Below are 13915 nucleotides of genomic sequence, written 5' to 3'. Positions count from 1 at the left end.
AGAACTTGCACCTGATCATTTGAATCGATGACTCTGATTCTTCTTGCTTGGTAGGTGTTGGATAAGTATTTATTGAATAAATACATTTCATTGGCATTTTAAAATAAATTACTACTGTTATTCATTCTTGGTTCATCTCAATTGTGAGTTTCTTTTCTACTAAAGAAACCTCTGCCTTTTTCTTATTTACACTTTGTCCAGCAGCCCAGGACTGCGTTACTGTTTACAGCTTCCTGTTTGCGTACCTGCATCAGCCATTTAGGCAGCTGTGAGGCTGGAGAGGGGTGGCAGAAACTCTTACTTAACCAGCTATTTGCAGCTTGTCAAAGAAAAGGCCTTAATTTGCCTTCTGAGTAGCACTAATTAGCTCTCCGGTTCTCTTTCTGTCTGTCTCATCCCTTTCCAAGGGGCAGCATTGATTTTCTCCTCAGGGAAATTTCTGTTGACTTTTCCTTCAGTGATTAAAATGTAAAAATGCAGAAAAAGGGCTACCCAGCATTCCTGGAGTCCTGACCATTGTCCAGCCAGCCGGAGGTCACTCCAGCCACCTCTGTTCTATATTACTTCACTCCCTCTTTCCTTCCAGCTCATCTGATTGACTTTGGTGAAAAAGTTATTTTAGGAAGAATGCATTAGTCCGCTTAGTGACTCTAAGCTTTTGCTTTGTTTTTAACCCACTTAATAAAATCTTCAGAAAAGCACCAGCTACTTTTTATTCATGTACCATACAGAGCACTTGAAGAATGGCTCACGAGTGTCCTGACACCCATAGTGTTTAGGGAGAGGAGGGATGAGCACTGCTTGGGTTACTTTAGAGAAAATTAAATCATCTTGTGTGTGCATATTAGCTGAAGGAGGGGGCTGTGATTGGGTAGAGGTGGGAAGAAAGATCTTTGCATATGAATGTTAATGTTCTTTCCTTCCAGCCCTGAGTTTTGTGAGCCTTTGAAATAAAGCAAACAGCATTTTCTTTTAAGGGCAACAGCTTTCTAACAGGGGCTTCTGTCATTCTTGCATCCAACCTAGTTTTGCTGAAATGGAAATTTGCCTTTAGATTTCCAGACTCATAAATAATGTTCTGATAAAAGAACCAATTCTGGTTTAAGCTGTAATATTTATAGCCTGGCTTTTGTTAGATGTTGGGAACAACATTCGAAACAGTAATATTTAAACCACAATTAAATTTCATTTTTCTTAACTTTCAATTACTTGAGAGGTAGAGGAGAGTACTGGTGAAGAGCCCTGCTACCTGGGTCCAAAGCGCCACCTCTGCCTGCTGTGTGCCTGCAAAAGTTACTTAACCTCTCTGTGTCTTAATTTCCCTATCTGCAAAATGGTAGTGATAGTAGTACTCATCCTGTAGAATTATTTGACATTTAAATGAGTCACAAAGTACATGCTATATGTGTGTTTGTTAAAGTGGTATTATCTATACTCAAGTCCAGTTAAGGAACAGATTTGTCTATTATTCTTCAAAATACAGAACATCATCAAATGTCAGCAGCTGGTGATAAAATTATTCAGGTAATATGAAAATGAGATAGACATAGACTTGAGAAATTTAACTGACAGGTTTTGGCATTCTTTAAGGTATAGAATATGTACTTTTTCTTTCATAACTTATTAAAACACAATTCATTGTTACTAGGGGATGTGAAGGGGAGAAAGCTGCTTCTTAGTGCTTTGGAAATTGGAGCAGACAGAAGGCAGAGGTCGGAGGAGAGAGGCACAGTCAGTGTGCGGAGGAATCAGGTAGCAGCAATCCAAACTCCCAGCTGGTCATCTGAGAGCAGGAAGCCAGCCGTGGAGGGGTGGGTGAGAGGGGTCTCAGAGCTTCACAGTGTCAGGAATGGATAAGCTGATAAAGACCGAGGTACTAGAAATAGAATTGTCCCCTGTGATTCCAGGACAGAGGTTATTTCTCTTCTGGCCTGTCTTGATGATGCCTGCTTTGTACATACAGACAATGGCCGGCTGGCATGCCCTGGCAATCACAGAAAGAAGCTTCGCAGATGCTACCTGCCCTGGATTATTTCAGAAATGGAAGGTGCAGCCTTCTGGGATGTTCCATCAGTTATTTGAACCAGGCCAAACAGCAGAATATATTTTAAAAGATGTAGATGGTTATTAAATATTTGTTGGACAAATAAAACGGCTCAGGACTGTGAAATAAATTTTGAGGAGGTGAATTCATTTTTTTTCCCCTAAAAAAGGCAAAGATAAGACAGTTGGACTGCTTTTGTGTATCATGTAGTCTTTCAGGAAATAGCCAGAAAATAGATTCCTTGAAAGGACCAAAGTACATTTTAAAAATGTGTCATTCCTTTGTACATGAGAAAGATGTCAGGCTTGTAAGGAAAAATACATTTTTGCTTTTTTAAAAAAAAAACTTGAAAGCAATTTGTTGAAAGATAAAAAGAGCTTTACATAAGCTTATGTGGAAGCGGTCGGAAAGGGTTCCGTGTATCATTTAGAGACAAACTTCTGGAACATTCCTCAGGCTGAAAGGCCTCAGATCTCATCATTGTCCTTATGGATGTGTCAGAGTTTGAGACAATCTCTTTCAGACTGAAAGCATTCTCTTTAAGAGTTTTGAAGGAAGAGCCTGTAATCCCAGCACTTTGGGAGGCTGAGGCAGGCAGATCACAAGGTCAGGAGATCAAGACCATCCTGGCCAACATGGTAAAACCCCGTCTTTACTAAAATACAAGAAAAATTACCTGGGTGTGGTGGTGCACACTTGTAGTCCCAGCTACTTGGGAGGCTGAGGCAGGGGAATTGCTTGAACCCGGGAGGCGGAGGTTGCAGTGAGCTGAGATCAAGCCACTGCACTCCAGCCTGGTGACAGAGTGAGACTCTGTCTAAAAAAAAAAAAAAAAAAAAAAAAAGTTTCTCCCTTTTAAATTGGCCCCCTCTCAATGCAAAGACTAAGGTGTGGCATGTTTCTTTTCCTATGCAATTGAAGCACCGTCCTCAGTGTCTGAAGTTACACAGGAAGCTGCCAAGCATGGGCTTCCCTGACAGCGCACAACCTCGGGGCTGCTTGGTTTTCATGGCTGTCTTCATTAGCTTGGGCTGCTGTAACAAAGTCCCATAGACTGGGCGGCTTCTAAACAACAGACATTTCTTTCTCATCATTCTGGAGGTTGGAAGTCTGAGATCAGGGCACCAACATGGTCAGGTTCTGGGGAGGACCCTCTTTGGGGCTGCAGACAGCTCTCTTCTCATGGTGTCCTCACAGGGTGGAGGTAGTGAGGCTCCTGGGGGTCTCTTTCTAGAGGGGCACTCATCCCATTCATTAGCGCCCCACCCTTGTGACTGAATCACCCCCAGTGGCCCCACCTTCTAGAACCATCACATTGGGGGTGATAATTTCAACATGTGACTTTTGGGAGGACATAAACACCAGCCTACCCTGCTTTTTCTCACAATATTCCAGGAAGCCACAGACATCACTCCTCTTGTCCTTCCCAGTGGCCTCTGAAGGCCATTCCCAGAGGCAGCAAAGGCAATCCATGCACTTCCAAGCTTTTTGTAAGTGCAGCTCAGAGAAGGAAAAAGCTTTTCTTGGTTCAAATACTGACCGCAACGATTAACTTACCTCCCTACCTGTGAATATTAATCATTATAAGTTACTGATTTTGCCAAATGCTTACACTGTGTCAAGAGCTGCTAAATATTTTACATTTGGGATTTCACTGGACCGTCAATTAAGTAGGGACTATTATTATTTCCATTTTACAGAGAAGGACATTGAGGCTTAGAGTTTAAGCAGCTTGCCTGCAAGTCACATAGCTGAGTGGCAGAGTTAAGATCTGTGCCCATATTTGCATATTGCTTATTACTTCCCTATTGCAGCTTTTCTTGTCCTCTTTTCACCCTTTCCCATTACCCTCTCTGTGTGCAAATAGCCATATTTTCACAATCTAGTGGTTTATTAGACCAAACTCTCTTGAGGAGAGAGACCCATGTGTTTCATCTTCATGGGCCCAGCCAGACCTCACACAAGACATAGAGAGAGGCCTTGACAAAGGTTGATTGGCTGAGTGGATGAACATTCTTTTTATGTCTAAGCATAAAACTTAGCTCTGTGAATAATCATGTGCTACTGTCAGTTGTAGGGAGGCCAAGATTGAGCTTTCCATGGTGTTTTTTTGTAAAAACTATATGAATTTTCCATTGCACAAGACGGGGGAATAAATCCAGTTTCCTGGGGCCAAGAAATGATTGCAGGGATTATAGACTGGTACTGCTCCTTTTAAATTCTACAGTACAAGACCTTGTGATTTGTTGTAATCACAGTGGAACTTGAAGGGAGGTGATGGTACCATGGATTGGGGTCCAGTGAAGAAGCTAGGGTTAACTTATGTGCACTTTACATGTCTGAAATGGCATAGTCAGCCCCATTTGATTTTTACAAAAGATATTCTTAGAAGAGTCTGGTCTTTTACCTTTAGCTCGAGGACCTGTTTGAGCTGCAAGTCTTTGCAATATGAGTTTTTCCATAACAACATCCTTCAGAATTCGTCAGTATGTTCATGAGTGCAGTTAGAGACACCTAGAAAGTTCCAAAGGAACATTTTGAAAACCTGAGTCATTCTTTCTCATTTGAAGAAAACTTTCAGAATTTCTTAGGAAAATAAACCTCTACTTCAAAAATAAATGCCCAAGCTATTTAAAGATTAAAACAGAAGCTTTCTATGAGCCAGCGTGGAATTACTTATAACAAAGTCTAAGGGATTTTTTTTAAAGACAAATTTCTGGAGATTTCTTAAACTGTTATACTGACTAAATTTAGGTACTTAATAATAATAAAAATGTGTGTGGTGCTTTCACAGCTTACCATTTATAAACTCCTTTCACATAATTAATCTAACTACTCACAAAACAATCTTAGGCAACCCCGTATTGTTTTCATAGCCATTGTACATTTAAGGAAACAGTCACAGTAGCTAAGCGACTTTCCCAAGGCCATGTGCCATAAGGGACATTGCCAGGTTCAGGCTGGTTTTCGGATCTGAAGTCTCATACTCTTTTCACTGCAGGATGCTGTTTCAACACATGAATCTATGGAAAAATAGCACCATTTCCCTCTCATTAATTTTACTTACTTGAATTAATCTCACTGGTTTATCACAATGGACAAAGTTGGAATCACTAGCTGGTATTCTAAATCCATATTGCATTGACAATGAGGATGACCTCATTGCCATTGTCATTGCCCTTCCTGTACACATGAAAACATGAAACTACAAGTGTGATGGTATATGTTTAACACTCCTCTTACTGGGGAAAAAGAAAAAAAAACAGGTAGAGATAGAGTCAGGCTCTTTCTTTGCATTAGTTGCTAAGCAGCAGCCATTTCATTGTAAAGGAGACCCAGTTCAAGTAATGGCATAGGTATTCCAAGAATAGTATTTCATTTTTATAGCAATTGCATTTCAGGTCTCCAGAAAGCATATGCTTCTGTAGCTCAGTGATTTTTAGGGGAAGAAATAGCCACCTCAACATATTTGTTGAACATATGGAGAAAATTCAGTATAGCTGATTACCTAATAACCAGACTTCCGTGAGCCGCACACGGTTCACAGGGGCAGCAGGTTCAGGCTACCCACAGTTTGAAGGATTTGGAAGTCTCCAGAAAATACTGCTAACAAACAGGTACGTTTTGAGGCTGTATTTGACATTCACCGATACCATCTCAATGAAATACTCTGGGTAATTTAGAATGCTAAGGGTATTGAAATGACATGGTATAGAACAAAATTTTGTTGTTGCAGCCAAGGGGTTGGATGGTGCCAAGATTTCATTGTATTGAGCTTTCGCTGGCAGCTGAAAGCTCTTCAAAATGAAGATAGAAAATACGGTACAAGACAAGCATAATTCATGGAGCTCAGTTTATCAGAAGGATCTGAGTGCAGAGGAGGACGTATACTTAATGTCCCAATGGGTATGTGTGTGAAGGGGCGATGTCAATATACAAAGCTGTCAGGTGCTATATTTTTTGATTGCACTATCACTATTAATTTTGAAGATGGATTGATCTGTGTGTGGAAGCCTTGAAGCCCTTGGCCCTGCCTTTTAAGGCATAAAAGGCATTTCTGCCATCTCTGTTGTAATTTGCCAAACTATTGTGAAACTTATGTGTATCTATACAAATGTATTTTCTTCAGAGAATTGCTTCATGGAGTTGTTAAGGGAGCAAACTTTGTTGTTTTCTAAGAGTGTGCTGCATAATACTGCTCCTCACCATTCCCCTCCTCAAGATATTTGAGAGAAAATGCCCCTTTCCAGGAGCAGCTGGGATGCTGGGAAGCTTGTCTTTAATTTCCAGTAAGTTGCCCTTCCATTTAAGGCAAAATACCTCTTCCAGGAACTAAAAGTCAGACTCAGAAGAAGTAATACATGGATGAATTCACAAATGGTGAATGGTTATTCCCATTGTGGTGCTGGGTTCATTAGTATGGTTGGTTTTAGCATCTCTCGAACAATTAATGCCTCTCATATATGTTTCATCATGCACTTTTACAATGACTCAAAACAGCTTTAGCAAAAGCACTTGTGTTATACGAACCCAATATATAGATGGTGAAATCAAGACAAGAAAGGCTGGGGAGGAGAGATCTAAAACATTGACTTCCCGGCCTGGCATAAAACCCATAGAAATGCAAGATCCTAAGTGTCTCTCAGAAAAAGCATATCTGGGAGGTGCTCAATGATATACCTTCAACATTAATATGAGGTCCTACTTGCCAAGAACTGTGAAGTGCTTTACATATGTGGTTTCAGTTAATTCTTATCACAACTTTATAAGGTAGATGCTTTTACTATCCATAGCTTTACAGAAAAGGAAACTGAGGCACAGGATAATGAAGTAATATGTCAGGGTGTCACCACCAGCCAACGGTGGAGCCAGGGTTTGAATTCCAGAACCCCCTGTCTAGTGCACTTAAGCATTATTCTGTGCTATATTCCTATATGCATCCAAAACCCTGTTTTTCCTTTTAGGAATGACCTCTGTCCTCTTGTGTGTAGCCTTGAGGGGCTGTACATCAAGGTGCCTGGCTCTCCACCATGGTAACCAATGAGGCCTTTGGAAGCTGTTGTAGGGGGCTTCCTCTCACCACCCTGATAGCATCTTGGGGCAAGTGTATGACTTGAGCTTGGACGACCAGACTCTCTTGGACTTGGACTCAAAGGATTGTCAAAGGGATTGCCAATTTGTTCATATCCACTGGCAGTGCCCTGGTAGGACAATTCCTGCTGCTCTGGTTCCTGTCTTTATTCAAAGCATAGGTTGTGATATGGTTTGGCTTTGTGTCCCCACCCAAATCTCATCTTGAATTGTACTCTCATAATTCCCATGTGTTGTGGGAGGGACCCAGTGGGAGGTAATTGAAGTATGAGGATGCGTCTTTCCCTTGATGATCTCATGATAGTGAATAAGTCTCATGAGATCTGATGGTTTTATCAGGGTGAGTTTCCCTGCACAAGCTGTCTCTTTGCCTGCTGCCATTCATGTAAGACATGATTTGTTCCTCCTTGACTTTGCCATGATTGTGAGGTCTCCCCAGCCATGGGGAACTGTAAGTCTAATAAACCTCTTCTGTAAATTGCCCAGTCTCGGGTATGTCTTTACCAGCAGCATGAAAACAGGCTAATACAGTAAATTGGTACCAGGAGTAGGGTGCTGCTGAAAAGATACCTGAAAATGTGGAAGCGACTTTGGAACTGGGTAACAGGCAGAGGTTGAAACAGTTTGGAGGGCTCAGAGAAGACAGGAAAATGTGGGAAAGTTTGGAACTTCCTAGAGACTTGTTGAATGGCTTTGACAAAAATGCTCATAGTGGCATGAACAATAAGATCCAGGCTGAGGTGGAGACAAGGAACTTGTTGGAAACTGGAGCAAAGGTGACTCTTGCTATGTTTTAGCAAAGACTGGTGGCATTTTGCCCCTGCCCTAGAGATTTGTGGAACTTAGAACTTGAGAGAGATGATTTGTGGTATCTCATAAAAGAAATTTGTAAGCAGCAAAGCAATCAAGAAGTAACTTGGATGCTGTTAAAGGCATTCAGTTTTATAAGGGAAGCTGAGCATAAAAGTTCAGAAAATTTGCAGCCTGACGATGCAATGGAAAAGAAAATCCCATTATTCAAGCTGGCTGCAGAAATTTGCATAAGTAATGAACAGCTGAATGTTAATCACCAAGACAATGGGGAAAATGTCTCCAGGGCATGTCAGAGGTCTTTATGGCTGTCCCTCCTATCACAGGCCCAGCGGCCTAGGAGGAAAAAATGGTTTCATGGGCTGAGCCCAGGGACCTCTTGCTCTGTGCAGACTATGGACTTGGTGTCTTGTGCCCCAGCCACTCCAGCCAGAGCTAAAAGGGGCCAAGGTATAGCTTGAGCTATTGCTTCAGAGGGTTCAAGCCTTAATCCTTGGAAACTTCCACATGGTGTTGAGCCTGCAGGTACATGGAAGTCAAGCATCAAAGTTTGGGAACCTCCACCTTGATTTCAGAGGATGTATGGGAAATGCCTGGATGCCCAGGCAGAAGTTCACTACAGGGGCAGGGCCCTCATGGAGAACCTCTGCTAGGGCAGTGCAGAAGGGAAATGTGAGGTTAGAGCCCCCACTCAGAGTCCCTCCTGGGGCACCACCTATTGAAGCTGTGAGAAGAGGGCCACTGTCCTTCAGACCCCAGAATGGTAGTTCCACCGACAGCTTGCACTGTGCACCTGGAAAATCCACAGACACTCAATGCCAGCCTGTGGAAGCAGCCAGGAGAGGGGCTATACCCTGCGAAGCCACAAGGGTGGAGCTGCCCAAGACCATGGGAACCCATCTCTTGTATCAGCACGACCTGAATTTGAGACATGGAGTCAAAGTTGATCATTTTAAGCTTTAAGATTTGACTGCCCGGTTGAATTTCAGACTTGCATGGGGCCTGTTGCCCCTCTGTTTTGGCCAGTCTCTCCCATTTGGAATGGCTGTATTTACCCAATGTTTGTATCCCCATTGTACCTAGGAAGTAACTAGCTTACTTTGGATTTTACAGGCTCATAGGCAGAAGGGACTTGCTTTGTCTCAGGTGAGACTTTGGACTGTGGACTTTTGAGTTAATGCTGAAATGAGTTCAGACTTTGGAGGGACTCTTGGGAAGGCACAGTTGGTTTTGAAATGTGAGGACATGAGATTTGGCAGGGGCCAGTGGTGGAATGATATGGTTTGGCTCTGTGTCCCCACCCAGGTCTCATCTTGAATTGTACTCCCATAACTCCCACATGTTGTGGAATGAGCCCGATGGGAGGTAATTGAATTATGGGATGGGTCTTTCTTATGCTGTTCTCATAATAGTAAATAAGTCTCATGAGATATGATGGTTTTATAAGGGGGAGTTTTCCACACAAGCTCTCTCTTTGCGTGCTACCATCCATGTAAGTTGTGACTAGTTCCTCCTTGCCGTCTGCCACGATTGTGAGGCCTCCCCAACCACGTGGAACTGTAAGTCCAGTAAACCTGTTTTTCTTCCCAGTCCTGGGTATGTTTTATCAGCAGCATGAAAACGGACTAATACAGATCATCAGTCTTTCTATTCATTGTGAACTATCCAACATCTTCCCGATAAAATTCCTTTTTGTTTAAGTTAACTAGGTGGTTTAAAAAAAGTCTAACTGATAAAATATCATTGGCGAATGGCCCAGCAGCCTCTGCTTGTGAATGTCCTCAGTGCCAGAGAGCTCTTGGATACATTAGGGGCATAGTTACGCCGTTGGTCAATTCTAATTGTTAGAGAGTTTTTGTTATAGGAAAAATGAATATATTATCATTTAGTGAATACTTAATATGTGTTAGGAACTTTCTTGCCTCCTTTTTGTGATTTTCTTGTTTAATTCTCACAACAACTCTGAGTAGTTATCACTATTGTACAGATGAGAAAACTGTCTCACACAGGGGAAATAATTTAAGTCAAAGGGCTATAATTGATGGAGTCAATTAATTGGATTCAGACTCAGTTCTAAGTCACCCAAAGCCCCTATCTTTTCCCATTACATTCTGCTGTCTTCATGTTGAGTCTGAAACTGACTCCTTAATTTTTTTACGTACTTAATATTACACTGTAGTTCTGGAGGACATTCAGGATAATACCCTTTCCTTTTCTGTATAACAGGTCTTCGAATATTTGAAGTCAAATATCACATGCCTCTTCAGCTCTTGTTTCTTTAGACTGCACCATCTCCACTTTCATTCTATCCCTTATCCAAAAGTGGTTTTCAATCAACTTCACTTTTCTGGCTCTTTCTAATTTGACAGCATACTGGGTTATCCATGGCTTTCTTCATAAAAATGCAGCACTAAACTAAAAATGTGGTCCAACCAAGGTCACCATTAGCACATATGGTGCCTTTGTTCAAATTAGAAACAGGTTTCAAGTCTGGGATGCATGAATTTACAAAAATTCTCTTGCACTCCAGAGCACAGTCAGCTCCAGCTAGGACCTCTCCTGTGGTGGGGGGCACTGAGGCTGGGTTTCTGTCCCCATCTGCTCCTCCTTTGGATTCTCTGGTGCAGGATACACCTACATACCATAGGCATAGCTTTGGGGACTTCATTAGCTTGCTGTGGCTGTTGGTTGTGGATAGGGATTAGTATGGGTGTGGACCAATTGCTGTGAAACTCATTCCAAAAGTTGAATATCCAGACTGCCAGTTTAACAAATTGCTGATAATATTTCCAAAGTTTTGCTTAGGTTGCAGCCATTTCACTTAAGACTGGCCATTTTAGCTTGGCTAAATGTTTACTTGGCTTGTTTCCTACTTATTTCAGATGCCATGCCCTTTTAGAATGTTCCACATCCATCCCTTCCTCTGTCCATCCATCTGTCCCTCCTTCCCTCTCTCTCTCATTTTTCCTAGATAAGAAGGGGCAAGCTCTCTCTTAAGTTCTATTTACTATTATCTCTATTTTTCAGACTTATGCCTGCATCGTCCTCCTTTTGACCCTGCTGCTAGTGGAGAAATGCCTGTGACCAACTCTTCCAAAAACTGGCTTAAGCTATTTGAGAGGTTTTGGCGAACTTTCTTTCAGTGAGTTGACACAGAGCCAATGAAGAAATCCATGTGGACTTTGGCTAAAACTATATTTGGTGGCCAAGAAAATTACTTATCTTATCCAGAGGACAGCATTTTCCTATTTTAAGTACAAAGGCTATGCCGTTCAATACAGTGGGCACTAATCCTGTGGACCTACCAAAACTAATTAAGTAAACTAAATTTGAAATCCGGTTCCTTCTTTACACTAATCACACATTGAGTAAATAAGGGCCTTATGTAGCTAGTAGCTGTCCTGCTGGACAGCACAGTTACAGAACGTTTTCATCATTGTGGAAAGTTCTATTAAACAGCACAGCGTTGTGGGATTAGGGTCAAGATACTAATTTATCAAAATTACAGAAGCCTCTAGATAGCCATCCTTGAATGATAACCTTGAATGATGAAGTTCTTGAATTACGAAGTCTAGTTTCCCAAGTTAAGAAGTTGTACTTTCAGGGTGTAACTAGGAAGGAGAGAGAACTGTAGACAGGAAATGTGGGGAGAGTCCTCTTTGGTGTTCCGCATCATCCTTACTGTCCTATGTTCCTCTCCTCACCACAGTGGTGACTGAGGATAAGGTTAAAGACAGAGAGTTTGTCTTCTCTTTCCTTTGCAAACTGCATCTTCCTCTGCTTTGCCAGACATATTGAGCATTAGATGTAAGAGAATGTGTTCTATAGCTTTTGGGTGGCCTAGCTGTTTTGCCATCTAAAATAGTTCAGCTTGTGGTGGCTGCACTTGGAGGTAGAATAAAGGTTATGGGAAGAGCATTATTGCTTCTCCAGCAATTAATTCCTAAAATTTGGGTAAGAGGATCATTCAAGATGAAGGATATGAACTTAGAATGTGGATGTGTAGCTTCAGGTTATGTCTGTGTCACAGAAATTGTTTCTTATGCTCTTATTCTTATATTATTCTTAACATCAGTTCCCATCATGTTAAATAAATATTTATTGTAAATTCACTTGGGAGGCATAGAAGTAAATGCATGGACTTATACTTTTACTGTGGCTCCCCTGATTCCTAGGGGAGAGACCTTAGGAAGCTGTGAAAAGAGCTTCAAGGACAGAGCAAAAGCCCCAGGAGGATCTGTGTGTGTTTGTGTGGATTCTATCTGGTGCTTTGAAGTGCCAATATTGCACACAAGGGTGTTCTAAAAATAACTCAAGTAATGTGCATTCTCTGCTGAAGGGAGTGAGATAATTCATGAGGATGATGAGAAATGAAAAAGGAAAAGGAGAGAAGCTTTAGAAGATGAGAAATGAAATACATGCATCTCAATGGTCTCTGAGGCTCTTCCACGCACTGAGTGCTTTCTTTCAAGTCTTGGTATTGAAAGCTGGGAAAAAGTACTTAAAAAAAAGCATCACTGGGAGAACATTGGGGTTTTCTCACCTGTTTTATAGCATGAGGAATCCTCTCGATAAAAACTTACCTAAGTTGTAAGAATAGATATGGAATACTAATTTGTTATATGTGCAAAACACTATTTCAAGCACTTGGTGAAGAATCCAAAATTGAATAATAAATGATTTTTACCTTAAAGTTGTTTCAAGTTGCTTATAACTTATTGGAGAAAGAAATAAAAAAAATAGCCACTATGTGCCAAATACTATGTGAAGTGCTAGAAATAAAAGAGAAATAAGAGTCTCTGTTATCAAGAATTTATGGCTTGGTGATAGAGAGAAGCAAGACATTGACCTGTCTACAGGCTGATAAATACAAAGAGAGCGGGCGGTCAGCGGGCAGGATAGGGGAGCCCTGAGAGAGGGCACTTATGTCTGAGTGGAGAGTGGAGGATCTGCAGCAAGTGATGGTTAAATGTGCCTTGAAGGAGGAAGAGAAGATAACCAGGTGGAGAGAGGAATTAAAGGACTTGTTCATGTCATTGATTGAATGGAGAAAACATACTCAGGGTTCTAAATGGCAAACTAGAAACAGAATTTTAGAACACAGTCCATTTGCTTCTAATCTCTCCTGAAAAGCTCTCAAAGTAGATCATTTGAATATTTGAAGGAATGAAAGGCTTTAACAGGTTCCACTAACCTAGAATTCCACACATAAGTGAGCTTTACTAGAAGTTGTATCTATTCCGTGCTTCTTAGACATCAGCAGCTTGAACAAAGGTAAAGCAGCGGGCATAGCATGATGCACATGATTGTATCTGGATCTGGGTGATAGGAACACAAAAGTGGGAGAGGTTAGTTCTGTTTGGGAGAAGTTTTCTTGGAGCACTGACTTTAAAGAGTTGGTAGGATTTCAATAGGAGGAGATGGGGACACAAGGAGGGAGAGTATGGAAAGCGTTCCAGGCAGCAGGAATTGCATGAGAAAGGATACAGTGGTAGAAATGTATGACGTATTTGTGCAGCAGTGTGAATGGTGATGAAGTAGTTTGGGTTGAGCATAAGGATAGAGTGGAAGATAAGGCAGGGAAGGTTAGTTAAATGCTCATTATGGAGGACTTTGAATGCCATCAGAAGAATTTGGATTTTATAGTTAATAGGGAGCCATTGGAGGTTTTTGAGCCTATAAGTGATGCTCCATACTCAGCTGTGGGGAGGTCCTTGTTCTCTCTGAAGCCATTGCTGGTTACCCTGCATCCAGAGTCACTGTTATAGCTGCAAGTCATTCCTGTGCAAGTGACACCTCCACCCTGCCATGCCTCCAGACACTCCAGTATGGACAATAACTTTTCTTTCTCCTCTAGCACATGAAGAAGGAAGGGGGACCCCTGTTCTGTCTGCAGGGGCCATGGTGGCTGAGAACCAGGCTTTTCTCATGCCTTAGGAATAATAGGAAGTAGGGTGAGTTTCTAGTCTC

The 13915-nt window shown here is 41.7% G+C and overlaps 1 protein-coding gene across 9 annotated transcripts in view, besides 1 other annotated feature; it reads left to right on the top strand.

Moving 5' to 3' along the window:
* Positions 1-13915, top strand: part of DGKI (diacylglycerol kinase iota) — a 465938-nt gene that overhangs the window by 6089 nt on the left and 445934 nt on the right. The gene's annotated exons all lie outside the window — the stretch shown is intronic.
* Positions 51-633: an enhancer, noted in NCBI's record as "OCT4-NANOG hESC enhancer chr7:137524999-137525581 (GRCh37/hg19 assembly coordinates)". NCBI's record gives its function as "activates a minimal SCP1, AML or CMV promoter by ChIP-STARR-seq in naive H9 embryonic stem cells {active_cell/tissue: H9 hESC(naive)}" and the evidence as "EXISTENCE:reporter gene assay evidence [ECO:0000049][PMID:30033119]".

Source organism: Homo sapiens, chromosome 7, assembly GCF_000001405.40.
Source record: "Homo sapiens chromosome 7, GRCh38.p14 Primary Assembly".
Lineage (NCBI taxonomy): Eukaryota > Metazoa > Chordata > Mammalia > Primates > Hominidae > Homo > Homo sapiens.
The sequence above is the reverse complement of the archived record's forward strand: the minus strand, read 5'-3'. Positions and strand labels throughout refer to the sequence as shown.